We start from the raw sequence: 15,261 nt of genomic DNA, 5'->3' as shown, positions 1-15,261 counted from the left end.
TATTTGATTTGCATTTTTCCTCTCGAAAACTCATTTCATATACTTATAAGCCACTTACATATTTTTGTAATAAGATATTAGTTTGGGGTTTCATGATTTTTTTAAAAAAATGCTGTGTAAAATCTCTTTGTATATTAAGAAAGCTGGAGTTTTTATCTCAAAGATATTCCATTCTTTTATATCCCAGCTTGTCATATGTATTTTGGCTTTTTCCTTTTGAGTTTCTTTGTATTTGTTTCATCAAGCTGTTATCAAATAAAGTCTTTTTTTCCTGTAATGCTTATGAATTTTAGTATTACTTAGAAAGCCCTTGGATTAGTGCTATAACTACTATTTCTGAATTTCAGTGTTCATATCTGTAATATAACACATAAGATTTCTGTTGTTAGATTTAGACTAATCTTTAAAAAAGCACTTGATACATAAGAAAAGTTTAATAACTCTTAGTCCTTTTATTTTTGCCATAGGGCTATATGTTAAGTCTCTACATCAGCCTCTTCAAAAAACAGTATTATTTAGTCATTATACTTTATCTCAAAGTCCTTTAACATTTGCTCAAATTTTGATATTTCGCCCATTCCTCAAGCTGCTTATTTCTAGATCGTGATAATATTTTCTTCATTGATATGGAACCAAATTTTTCCTTAAAATTTTTTGTTGCTTTGGAAAAGGCATCCAATGAGCTAAACTATGATGCATTCAGGAAATTGAATTAGAAGAACTTAGAGGTCTATTTGTTGCAGATAAGCTATACTGGTAAGTTATACAACAAGATTAATAATACCTGAATTCATTTTCAAAAGGTGAATTACATCTCTCAAAGTTCTGTATCTCAGCTTGTTTGCCAAAAGTAGCTATCTTCTCGTATTCACACCTGGATTAGTTATATATTACTATGTAACAAATTATCCCAAACCTTAGCAGCTTAAAGCAACACACATTATGTCAAATGTTTCCTGAGCTTCTGCAGTCTGTGAAAAGCTTAATTGTATAAATCTGGCTCATGGCATCTCACAAGATTGCAGTTGAAATATCGGCCAGAGCTGCCATTGCTGAATACTTAACTTGGTTGAGAATCTTCTTCTGAGCACTGTTGGCAGTACAACTCATTTCCTCACCACATCTGACTCCGAACAAATAATCAGAGAGAGAGGGCAAGGCGATAGCTAGACCATCTTTTAAGATTTAGTCTCTAAAGTAACATATCATCACTTTTGCCACATGCCATTTGTCCTAGAGACTAACTCTGATACAATGTAGGAGAATAGATAAAGTCATATATACCAAGCAATGGAGTTAATGGAAGCTGATTGCTACAGTGTTTTTTTTTACATCATGTCTTTCAGCTTCTTGTATTAAGAAGTAGAGTTTATTTTTTTAACCCTTTATTTATCAGTTCTGGTTTTACTTTGCTAGACCAAGACTATGTAGAGAAAGGGATTATTTGCCAGTGTCCAGCCTAATCATCATAAAATCATGAATGATTTGGTTCACTCACTTAGAAATAAACCACCGCCATTTCTTGCCTGTTCTAGCTAGATAAACATTCATAGACTATGTGGAAGAAAGCCCAGTTGTCCCAGTGGCTCTAGATATGAGACCGAGCCAATATATTTAGAGCTACCTACCCAATCTGCAGTTCATCAAAAACAGGTAAGTCAGTCCAACTGAAGCTTAAAAACAAGCATAGCTTATACATAAGCAATGATTTTACGCCATTAAATTTTGAGTAGTATGTTACCTATCAATTAATACCTAATATATTCTGCAAGAATGGTGCAAGAAAGTTGTTTGGATGCAAATATTTAAATATATAAAAATAAATGGTTTCTCAGTTATATAATTAAGGTTTATGCTATTAATTTCTCATTATGACAGAAATAGCTAGTTGCTTAGCATTGCTGGTTATGTTTTTATTGTATCTCCGTCCCTAGCCTATCTATCTATGTGCTGCTCTGTAAATCTGGAGCTGGGTGTATGCAAGTTGGATTTCTGAAGCTCCTTGGCAACCTACCCTAGCTGTTAATTTTTGCCAGTGGAAGGCAGTACAAGGAGATTAGAAGATAGAAAAAGAGATACTTTTCTTCTTCCCTCCTCACTTTTCCTCCTTTGGACTTTGACTAATATGTGGCATCATTTTCTTTAACCTATTATCAGCTATATTTAAATAAACCCATGGTCAGTTTGTGAGATGACTGTGTGTAGAGGAAAGAGAAAATATTCTTGTATTTCAAGAATTTACACTAAATCCTAGGTTCCAAAACTCCACTGCGATCCAAGATTATGATGTGATCCTCTGGAGGTCAAATGATATATGGAGTTTTACTGTGAGCTGTCTCACATCAAGTTCAGAGGGCCTACACATATATTTTTGGGTTATTTTCCCAGTACCTAATTGTATAACTACCACAGGCCTGCTCAACAAATGGTGAAATCTCTGCATCATCCCCTTTACCCATGGAGTGAGACTATTATTTGAGGAAGGGTCAATGTAAATTCCAGGAATTTCTCCCTACCAGAATAATGAGCTATTCATAATATATTATCTTCGTGGAATTTCAGAGATCATTGGCGCAATCAAAGACTTGGAAATGGAAGGATGGCATCTCTCCTTTCCCGTTTTCTGCCTCTTTGGCTTGGACAAAAGTTTGCTGAATCATAGATAAGAATTATTAATTGTAATAAACTTAATTAGATGGTGACTTCAGTTGCAGGTGAAATGTATTATAGCACCGAACACCAGGACACATTTCTATGTAACTATTGCAAAGAACAGCAGAAGCATTTTCTTTTTACTAGCTGAGACAAAAGTGCAACTTCACTCACTTTGGGGCTGTGTCAATATTCTTGCTTCTTGCCATATTATAGTCAGGCTGACATTACATTAAACTATTATTCTGGTCCACTTTACTGAGGACATAAGTTGACCGAATTTGATGATCAGAAAGTAACGAGCTCAAAGATGCCTCTCTAAGATGTGTGCACAGTAAGCTGAGTTAAACTCAGGAAGTTGCCAAAACCTGTAATGCCAATTAAGTTTCTCAGGTTCCAGTGGTGTCTGGCATGCCAGAATAATTACTCTAAAGTAAATATATACATATATATGTTTCTGAATCTTGTAATCCTTACAATCAAGAAATAGGCCAAATGTGTTGAGCATATTGAAAATTGAGATACCATATGCAAATTTGTGTGTATTTGTCTGTCCTATTTACTGAAAAGCTCATAAGATTTCCAGTTTTCAGTGAGGCCTAAAGCAAGAAAATGCTCTGAAGGATATTTAGACAACTCTTCCTATTAGTTTTTATAATTAAGTACATCCAGTGGTACTTGAAGCATTTATGGTAAAACAGGATACTCTACAGAGTGACTACCAAGCCACATTCAGAATATTATGGTGCAAGTGCTTAGGGTTTTAGGGTAAAGCCATGTTCCCTTCTGTGGATAATTACTCTCTTCTGAGAAAAGCTTCCTGTCCCTCTATCTTTCCCACTTGTCAGAATCCTGAATTCCACCTAGTAAAACATTATTTGTGGTTATCATTGATTGGTGTAGAGTTCAGGGTTACCAAAAAGGGAATGTTTTTAACAGAGGAAATAATGGTTCCATTGAATGGGAACACAACACTAGAACTTTGCAGTTTGAAGCTACACATGCCACTGAATATTTAGTCAAAAAAGTAAATATCTGTACTGGCTGGGATGACAACTGATCACAATTGCCAGAGGGGGAACTTTTTGGGTTGCTGACACACAGTGAGAACAGGGAGAACAATATCTGAAACTTGGAAGTATTTTTAGGGATTTTATTAGTTGATGATCAACCACATAAGTTAATTAAAAAAATACTGTAACCTTACAAAGGCAGAGGTACTTGGGAATGTAGAGTATTGGGGAATAAAGTTTTGATTACCTTATCAGATATAGAACCCTGACCAGCTGAGGTACTAGATGAGAATAAAGAAAATATGGAATAACTGGTGGGAGAATAAAGTTATTATAACAAACTGTAGCTTTATTACCATGAACACAAACAAAACAGTATTACTATGTGTATTTTCTCCCTCTCTTGATGATCTGTCAATTTATCTATCTGTCTATCTATCTATCTATCTATCTAATTTACCTACCATCTATTATCTGTCCATCTACTACATACTTACCTTCTTTTTTATTTCTCTGATTTCAGATTAGTAGTGGTGGTTAATTTCAAATGTTAGTCTTCAAATTATGGAATATACAAGAGTGGGATTGTATTAAAAATCAGATTTAATAAAAACTGGAAAGGGATATAGTAGCTATTGTTTCTCTTATTTTTGGAAAGAGAATAAGGTAATTTTTGCCTTCAGAATATGCTAGTCAGAATCAGCCCACTCTTCAGTAATATACTGTAGGATTCTGCATTCCAAAGTTCTTTTGCAATTGTTTTCTTATTAGGAGGACAGGAGAAATTGTATTATTTTCCTTTTGCATTCCAACTGTCTTCCTACTTCTTCCTATTTCTCTAAGCTAATGGTCCTTCAAGCTTCTAGCTCTATCCTAAATGATCTCTTCTCCAATAGTCACAGTCTGTTCTCCAAAGTGTGAATTCTTCAAGTGCACACATCTCCTGGGGAGGAGGCCCTTCAACAATGCTCCTAGATTTTAGAAACTGCACCTCTTCTGTTTTTGTTCCCTCAGTTATAAAAATGATAGCTGCTTGCTAAAATTTCTATTCTCTACATCTCTGTCTCTCACACCTTTTTAGATCACTGATGCCCATCAATTTTTTATTAAATTATATTAATATGAAACACCTAATGTAGCTTATGTAGCATTTTTGTTTGTTTTTGACAGATGATAGGATTGTTATTACCTCAATTACCATGATAATAAGCATTGTAATTTTTACTGTTACTTATTCTTACTCAAAATAAAGTTCTCAAACCTCGGCCCTCTTAAAGCTATGTTTAATCATTCTGGTCAAATGGAGCTGAGTCTAAGTGATATGATGTCCTTAAAAAGAGAATGGAGACCCTTTTCTTCTCACTTCCCTCTTCACTTAAACTGGAATATAAACATGAGTTTAAGCTATTCTGCACCTCACACAGAAAGTGAAACATCTTATGAATATGAATATGAAGGTGATATGAAGAAGGAAACAGTCAGGGTTACATCATGGAGTAGAACTGCACTGCACGTGTGTACTTTTATGAGAGTGAAATACATTTCACCTTGCTTAAGCCAATGTTATTTTAGCAATTATATTATTTATATTATCACAGACTTAGTTAAAATTTGCATTATTGTTAATAGTATAGGAGAACTAAAATATAAGGTGTAAATGTATTTGTTGGTTATTCATTTGGATGTTTGTGGCGATCTCAGCTCACTGCAACCTCTGCCTCCTGGGTTCAACCAATTCTCCTGCCTCAGCCCTCCCAGTAGCTGGGATTACAGACAGGCACCACCATGCCCAGCTAATTTTTAATATTTTTAGTAGGGATGGAATTTCACCATCTTGGCCAGGCTGATCTTGAACTCCTAGCCTCAGGTGATCCACAAGCCTCGGCTTTCCAAAATGCTGAGATTACAGGCATGAGCCACTGTGCCCAGCCATGCAGTATTTTTTTCTGTACCTTTTCTATGGTTAGATATGTTTAGATAGACAAATACTTACCACTCTGTTATAATTGCCTGCAGTATTCAGTGCCCGAACATGCTGTAACAGGTTTGTAGTCTAGGAGCAATATGCTATGCCATATAGCCTACCTGTGTAGTGGGCTGCACTATCTAGGTTTGTGTCAGTACATTTATTCTGTGATGTTCACACAAGAATGAAATCACCTAAGAATGCATTTCTCAGAAAGTTTTCCCATCATTAAGTGACACATGGCTGTATTTAAAAATTTCTAAATTAGAGCAAGTATATTTCAAATATAACTTTGGTGCTATATGCCCATTTTACTATGTGTGCACTGTTAAAACACATTAAAGGGTGAAGCAGTTATCTCCTAGACTTGTTTAAAGGGAGGTATAATCAGATCTTTCATGGCAATTCTTTGAGTAAGGCTGTATTAGTTCGTTCTCACACTGCTATGAAGAAATACCTGAGACTGGGTAATTTATAAAGGAAAGAGGTTTAATTAATTCAGTTCTGCATTTCTGGGGAGGCCTCAGAAAACTTACAATCATGGCAGAAGGCAAAGGAGAAGCAGGCACCTTCTTCCCAGGGTGGCAGGACAGAGTGAGTGCAAGTAGGAGAAATGCCAGATGCTTATAAAACCATCAGATATCATGAGACTCGTTCATTATCATGAGAACAGCATGAGGGAAAATGCCCCCATGATCCAATTACCTCCATCTGTTCCCGCCCTTGACATGTGGAAATTATGGGGATTACAATTCAAGATGAGATTTGGGTGGAGACACAGCTAAACCATATCAAAGACACAACATGAAATTAATATGCCTGTGGACAAAGAAACCATGTAGTGACTGCTTATGTGAATCCAAAACAAGATGAATCAAAGACTTAATATTCTATATTCCTGGCATTGTTTTACCAGAAAAAAATGTACGTCATTAGAAGACATCAAAATGTAACTAGTAGCAGAGATGTGTTTTTTTCTTTTTCATTATAATAGTTCTGCTAAGCAACATTGAAGAGGTCACTTAGTAAGTAGTTTAAAACACACTCATGCTAAGATACTTGGTTTTATGTTTCTGCTTTTGTTATTTTTTTTAAGTTTCAAGAGCTCAATAGTTTTGTGAAAGAGAAAATCCTGGTTTTTGCTTTTATGTTACTTTATAATATTTCTTAATGTGCATTTAAACTAAAAGTACAAATCATTGAAACAAATTTGAGTTATTATTGTGTGAAAGATTTTGAGAGATTTGAACAAAATTTATCATTTTTAGCAACATTTTTTGAGCAAAGATGTCTATTTCTCTGAAGGTACATCCTGTTGTTAAATGCCATATCAGTCAGGAAAACATATATCCCATATGAAAGTACAATTTTTTTGATTTGCAAAATATTTTTTCTCCGGTCTTTAACTCTGTTGAATATTACTGCTAAATATATAATTATTTTTCCAAGCATTTCTTTTTGTAGGACATAGTAATCATTACTAATCATTAAGGAATTCAGTTTTCCTTACAAAGTTGAAATGATTTGCTAATAAGAACTCAGAACTAAACTATATTTTTAGCATCTACAAAGAAGAAATAGGCATAGGTAGGCAAAAAAAGGATCTCAGAGTATTACAAAATTCTTACAAATGAACTTTATAACTCTACTGCATCAAGAAATATTGTTTTCATTGGCCAGAGGTATGCAACAAACCCAGAATTCACAAATTCTCCATTCTTAAACGAAAAAAATTCTTTTTTTGTTTTTTTTTTTTTGTTTTGACAGAGTCTCGCTCTGTCACCCAGGCTGGAGTGCAGTGGCATAATCTTGGCTCACTGAAATATCCACCTGCTGGGTTTAAACAATTCTCTGCCTCAGCCTCCCGAAGAGCTGGGATTACAGGCAGATGCCACCACACCTGGCTAATTTTTGTATTTTTAGTAGAGATGGGGTTTCACCATCTTGGCCAGGTTGGTCTTGAACTCCTGACCTTGTGGTCCACCCGCCTCAGCCTCCCAAAGTGCTGGGATTATAGGCATGAGCCACCACGCCCAGCCAAAATCCTCAATTTTAACATCCGATTTAGTTCATAGCTATACATTTGATCCACAATAACTGTTTGGTTTTCAGATTACTACTAACTATGGTAAGATATTATGATAAGCCAAAGACTATGAAATATCTCTTCAGTTATTCTAGCTGGTTCTAAATATTTCAGATTGTATAAATTTTTAACATATCTTCATATATGAATCCAAAGAGAGTAGGCACTCAAATAAATACATTTCCAACACAAAATTTTATTTAAATATCAAATTTCTGTATACACACATATACCTCCCACATAAATAGTACCAAATTGTTCAACTTCTTCAAATCCAAAACTTGATAAATTGGCAGCAATCCATGTCAAAATACTTAAAATTTTCCCAAATATAGGTCAAACTAAGCTTTTATTATAAAATACATCATATATAATCTATATATGAAGTATTTAAAAATGTTTATGGCCATTGGGTAAAGTGTACTTATGACAATTAGTTGACTCAGCCTGATTCTGTAAACTTGGTATTTATCTTTGTAATTTTAATTTTCATTGAATTATTTATATTTTTCAAATATAATCATAAATGAAATGGTACCTATTCCACTAATGTCATGTTGGGCAGATCTGTTACTAGATTTGATGAATACAACATCCTTTTCCTCAGTCAAGAGTAACTCAGTTCTTCAAAATAAATATTAACACAAAAATTTTTAAAAGAATGAATCATGCTACTTTAATTCACTACCATAAAATGAAATCTAAGCCAAATCTTAAGAGTTTTTGAAATGATATTAATTTATATTTAAATTTTTCTTTCTATAAAATAAATTTTCTTCAAATACCATTAGATGCTGATGCACACTCTCTAGTCTTAGGAATATAACTTATACCAAATTTTCTTCATAGGGAGAAAGAATGTTATCAATTACTGAACATCTTAGATCCAACATTGTGTTGATGAAATATTTGTCTCCATGATACGTGTGTCAATGAAAGTTTGGAACCTAATTATTCTATACAATGAAAAATTGTATAATTAAAATGAAACACTATTTTTGAGTGTCAAAATACTTAAATATTACAAGCTTTATATATGTTTTTATATATTTTTGCAAGATTATGAGCAAAGTTTCCAGGACAACAAAATTCTGAAGAATTTTGAGAATATATCAGTCACTATCACAATTATTAACCTGGACAGACTATTTAAAAACATAAAGACTTAATGTGTATTTTTTTCTAAACATAAATGGTATTTTTCTATTTTATTTCATCTTGTTGTCATATATGTAGTCACTTGTAGTTGAAAAATAGTTTTTCTTCCAGTATAGCATAGATGACAAATGTAAACCCTCGTGGAGAGCAGTAAGTGACAGCTGAAATCTTGAAGCACTTAATTTTTTAATCTGGGCCCAGGTATTAAAAAATGTATATTACCGTTTATATCTCTTTGTCTAAAGTCATATTGGAAATTGATTTCATGTCTGATTTCTATAAGAGGAGAAGCGTTTTAAAAGATCAAAAATACATACACACACATTTATAATTTGATATCATCGGTTTCTATTATATTTTCCATATTCAGCCAACAAAAGGCTTATGTTTACGTGGATATTTTTTCAAATATTATTTTGTTTGCCACATTGAAAAAGGTGAGCTTTCACTTAAAATATTTATGATACATAACTCTTTCAATTTAATGTTAAATCATAGAGAAATGTCAAATAAATTTAAAAGCAAACTATGTATTAAGCAAGATGACAGTTTTTATATCTTTTATTTATTTCAGAAATACATTAGGTCCAAAGTAATAAAGCTCCTTTTTTACAGGAACTTGATAATACTCTGATATGTTGTTGCCTACATATGGCTATTTCTTCTTAGTGTACTATAATTTCAGGTTTTATTAATAATGTTGATGAAAATTCTAACACACTAGTTTCCATTTGTTTTATTATACAATTGATAAAGTTTTTTTATGCATGTGAGATAATTTGACCTATACCACGTGAAGAGAAATGCTAATTATTCTTGTTCCCTGAAATTTCATGGTGGAAGATACAGACTCAAAATGATAAATAATGTGTCTAAAATATTTCTTTCTGACTCCAAGTCAGATGATAATATAAATAAACTAGATTTCTGATTTTTGGTTAGTCTATAATGGTGGCTGCATGACAACTTTCTACCAAGAAGTGTCATCATGTTATCTAGCAACTATGACAGACCCACTCTGACCTGAGTCCCCATTTCTAGATTAGGTAAGGATCCCCACTTCAAAGTTGGTTTACAAATCCAAGTCAACTAGAAAATGACTTACAAAACTACTGTGCTAGCATGGGAAGTATCTATCATTCATTAAGCAAATATAAATGTTGTTAATCAAATGTTTGAACCAAAGCAAGACTGTCAAAACAGAAAATGAAAAAGCCGCAGAAGCATAAGTAAGAATTATTTAATGTCGCGTGCCAGATTGAACAGAAATTTTTTAAGGGGTAATTTAATGTTGAAGAATACCTATATATTACTGTTCACATCTCTTTATCTAAAGTTGGGAATCAATCTATAAATGTTAATTGAATTGTCTGTGGCCACTGAACTGTTATAAGGAAAAAATATCAGGAAATGAACTCATGTTCATGAGATTCCAGCAACTATGTTCTTTCTACTACAACACAGATGCAACTCATTCAATTCTCATTTAAATAACATAATATACATAAACATAATATTGAACATATCCAGATTTCTGGTAAACACAGACTGGGTACAACACCTATGCAACTCTAAGCAACTGTTCATTTAATATGCATGTAGTATGAATGGACTATAGAGAAAAAATGGACAATCCCAAAGATAACAGCTCTTTTTAAGGGTATATGAAGTTTGAAATATATGTGATAAATAAGGGTAGATAGCACTGATAAGTTCTATATTCAGGCAGCAGAATGAGACTTAGTGGATTAGAAACCTGGCCCATTCAATTAATAACTGTGCAGTCTTGTGCATTTTACCTAAAGCTAGTGAAATTAACTTTCCTCATTTTAACATGAAGATTAAAATAATATCCTTTTCATGGAAATGTGGTTGAAATTGAGGAGAATTTATAAAGCACATGGCATACAGACCTACACTGTGACAATTGTAATTGGCAGTTATTAGCAAAAGGCAGTAATCTCCATGGGGGCAATGACCATGTCAATTTTGCTGTTTAGTATATTATATCCTCAGTTTCTAGTAGAGAGCTTTGCTCATAATAGACACTCAGAAATGTTTTATTGTATGGACTACTTAATGTAAGTTAACCATATAGTTTTCTAAGGGTTTAATAGCACTAATAGCACTGATGATTTGAGGAAATCGAAGCCTATCACTGGCTCCAAAGATGAACTCTGATTATGTTGCAGGTTTTTCACTCCTGTTGTCCCGAGTGGGAGGGAGTGTTACAGCTTTTTCACTGGCACTGCTGGCGAGCTCGGGGGTTCTCGTTCCACGACCAAGAAGAATAAGGCATGTGGACACCAGATAGTGAGTCAGGCAGAGTCAGATTTCTTAAGTGAGAGAAAAGTTTTCAGCAAGGAGAGGGGACCAGAACAAGGGCTGCTGCTGTGGGGCCAAGTGCCCGAGGTTTAGTGGTCTGGGGAGTGGGAGGAATGTGCTTACTGGTCTCTATGCCATCTTGGAAAAAACATCACTCAGAAAAAGACATGATAGTGAAAAGAACAAGTTGGAGGCAGAGGTGAAGGCTTGGCCTGGAACGTTGGCCCTGGACCTTGGCCCAGGACCAATCACAGGAAGAGAGGTATTAAATATATACAAAATCAATGAAAAGTAAGGACCAATCGGGAGGAGGCACATGAAGCAAGACAAAGGCTGGCCAAAGAGAGAAAAATGTGTCCAAAAGAGAAGTGGCATTTGTTCATCTAGGTTCACAGAATAGGCGTTGCAATTCAAGGACATGGGCTCTTTCTTATCTGGGGACTGCAGCTTGATTTTCAGGCTGCTTGTGTTGAAGTTGTACTGACGACTCACCCTGCCTGCCTGCTTGATGAGTTTCTTCCTTGTTCCTCCCTCAATTATTTTAAACTAATCATGATAATCCTACCATTCCTGCCATGTGACCTAAGAACGCTGGTTAAGTAAAACAGCTCAAAGCTGTTTGGAGACACCCCCCGTCCCCACCACAGACACACACACAAGGGTATTAACCTAAGTTGGCACAACAATATTGATGAGTGGACTTATATTCAAGATTAACAATGAAAGAATGTGCCACTGGCCATGAGCAAAGAAGTACCAATGACCACACTGATTTGGTCAACTAATGTTAAACACATACCACCTCTGTATTTTGTAATACATATGATAATATGTTAATTTATTATTTTAAATAATCTTAGTTGTAAATTTTGTTATTGCAGCTAAATGTATCTTAACCTTGATCACCAGCTGTTTAACAAATTAGAAAAATTAAGCCAACTTCTGGCAAATAGATGAAAGAATTAGCTTTTTATTATACCACATAAATGTTTTATTGAAACTCATTGAGTTTTGATTCAGCATATTATGAAAAAGATGATTACGGAAGAGGATTTTCCCAATATCTGTTAACTGTACATAGAAAGCAACATCATAGCCACCAGAGAAATATGCCTATGTTTAGTAGCTCTATGTATAAGGTTTAAAGCATAATTCTAAATTTACTTGTAAAATCTGTTTTAAAATCATACTGATGCTCACAGGCTGTATAAATTTGTATAAAGTTGTACAATTCCTTTAGCTCTATTCCTTGATATATAAAATGATAATAAGAGTAATGGAGTCTTAGATTTACTGTAAAGATGAAATACAATAACACACATAGCGTGTTTTCTTTGTCCTCAGTAATTTAAGTGTTTCCACTTTCTCAACATTTCACAAGGGACATTTGCTTATTATAGCAATCAGGACAGTAGTTTTGTCTTAACATCACACTCTATTTATATTTTTTAAATAAATGCAATTCTTGGACATTCTAATTACACTCTATATACATAAATAATACACTTAAAATAGCTAGGAACTAAATTTCAGCTATTTATTATAAACTTTACTTTTTAACACTGATTTTTAGATTTGAAACATACATCTTTTATGAATTATCAGGTACCATGAGTTTATATATCATATACTTTAAAAAAAAGCATGGAGATGAACTATGTACAGGGAACATAATCTTGCTCTCTGAAAACAATAACTTTGTGGAAGAGAAAAGCTTTATATGAGAAGATTTGGATACTGCATTATATCAGTATAGCTAGGATATAGTGTCCTAATAAATTCTAAATTCTCAGTGGTTTTAAATACAAGGACTTTTTTTTATTTATGCTATGTATTTATCTTTTGGCATAAATACACTGTAGCCAATTAGACATTCAGTGGAGTGGGGAGTGGAAGTTCCACCATATTGTGATGCCGCCACATAAGTACAAGGTTTTACCATGTACTTATGTTACCATGATAGAGGACAACAAGGATAGAACATCAAGATCCAACAATGAAAGACTTTAGACCAAAAGTGAAAAATTTCCTTGGCTAAAGCCTATCACGTGGTCACAGAATACTTTAATATTGGGTGGAGAATAATCCATCACTTAGCTGGAAGGAGACAAGAACCAAATATTAGTAAAAATTAGTAATGTCAACCACAGATAAGATTTCTAGCTCTAAAAGCTAGTAGCTGTGTAACAGGTGAATGGCTTAATTTTTGAGCTCTAATGTTTTAAGCTATAAAATAATTATACTTTTTAAACTTTTTTAACACTAAATTAGAAAAAATATATATATTAGATAGAAGGCACATAACACATACAAATATTTCCTGATCACAACACATTGACCAGGCCAAGTAGCAACAATGTAGATGAGATAATATTCTAAGATGTTCTGATTGATATTTCCATACTGAATCCTACGTTTAAAATGTAATATATAATTTAAATATATTTAACATTCTTTTCCCCATGTGCTAGGTTCTAGACTTGAAACAGAAATTTTTTAAAACATTGAATTAGGCTGGCTAGAAAAAAAATGTCCTACAGCAACGCACGATCCCCAAATCTTTGTGATTTAGCACAATAAGTGTACATTTCATGTTCACATAAGACACTTATGAGCTTGAGGCACCTCTCCAGGCTAAAATTCTTCCATGGTAGTACTCAATTTAATTTTTTGATCTTACAATCTCAACACTCGGCCTCTTACATGACAGATAGAATTATCAGTAGTACCTGTAACTGAGCAAGTCTGAAAAAACTGACCAGTCTGAGATAGTAAAAAAAATAATTCACAATTACTCTGTTGTAAGAAATGCTAACAAATATAATACAAAATGTATTTCAACTAGAAATAAAATCTTACAACTATGATGTTGTAAAATATAAGATTAAAAATCTGGAAATCAGAATTGCACTTCTTGCTATATAGCATTAAAAGCATATGATGTGACTGTTGTGAATATTAATCTGCTCATCTGAAAAAGGAGAAGACTATTTATTCTGTTTTTTTAAGTGATTCATAGGGTTTAAAATCTATAATTCAATAAAATGGTGATTTATGTTGCTTGAAGTAGTAAAGTTTGTAAGATATTTGCAAGACATCATCAAAATGAATGGAAATCTCAAATTGAAGAATTTAACTCAAAGATGAATTGTCTTTAAATTAAAGTCTGGTTTTTTTCCTTCTAACATATGAAGCACCAGGAAAAATTAGCCCATCATACCTTGTAGGGTCTACTATTTTTTCCTGTCTGATTTGCTTATATAATGAAACATTAACAAATATAAGCCATCAACACCATTTAATTAACAGCTAAATTAAATGTTGTAAGAATTTATATATAACTGGTCACCTGCTATTAATTATGCATGCATTTTATAGAAAATATTGAACTCTGTGAAATGATTAAATCTTAATATATTAATGATATTCGTAATTACATGATTTACAACCAAGAGAAAAAATTTAAAATATCTACCGGCAATCTAGATATTGTATTGATCAGACAAAGGCTTTAAAAGATCAAGAAACTGATGAAAATACATACAGAATAGGTTAAAAGTTGTTCAGTTTACAAAGAATTTGAAAGAATTTTCAAAGAATTTGTCCCGGAATGCAAAATATAAAATATGCAATTAACACACAATCAATAGATGGAATTGGCTACAGAATAGAATAAAAATTGGAGAACTATAAGGTAAATCAATAGAAATATCCAAATTAAAGTACACAGAGTACACAATGCAACAAGAGCAACACATGAGCATTAAAAACATGGAAGACACATTCAGGAAGATATTTGAAGAGTTAATGGCTGGTATTTTTTCAAAAATGGATGAAATATAACACCAAACAGATAAATAACATCAGAGGACCCAAAACAGAATTAATATGTAGGCTTCTCAATAAAAATCAATCAAAGTAAAAAAATACACTTTTAGACAAATGTAACGAAAAGACATGTCATCATCAAGCCTGCATTAAAATTATGATAGTTGGAAAAACATGCAGGAGTAAATCTTAGAAATATAAATAATTAGATCCAGAAATATACATCATATATT

General features: G+C 33.2%; 1 long non-coding RNA gene across 1 annotated transcript; it reads left to right on the top strand.

Moving 5' to 3' along the window:
• The first annotated feature begins 639 nt into the window (after positions 1–639).
• LOC105377423 (uncharacterized) lies at positions 640–2,641 on the top strand. The gene is made up of 3 exons (XR_939197.2): positions 640–756; positions 1,536–1,653; positions 2,563–2,641. It is a non-coding gene; the product is annotated as an uncharacterized LOC105377423 (long non-coding RNA).
• The last annotated feature ends 12,620 nt before the right edge of the window (positions 2,642–15,261 follow it).

Source organism: Homo sapiens, chromosome 4, assembly GCF_000001405.40.
Source record: "Homo sapiens chromosome 4, GRCh38.p14 Primary Assembly".
NCBI classification, from domain to species: Eukaryota; Metazoa; Chordata; class Mammalia; order Primates; family Hominidae; genus Homo; species Homo sapiens.
This window is presented reverse-complemented; position numbering and strand designations above follow the sequence as displayed.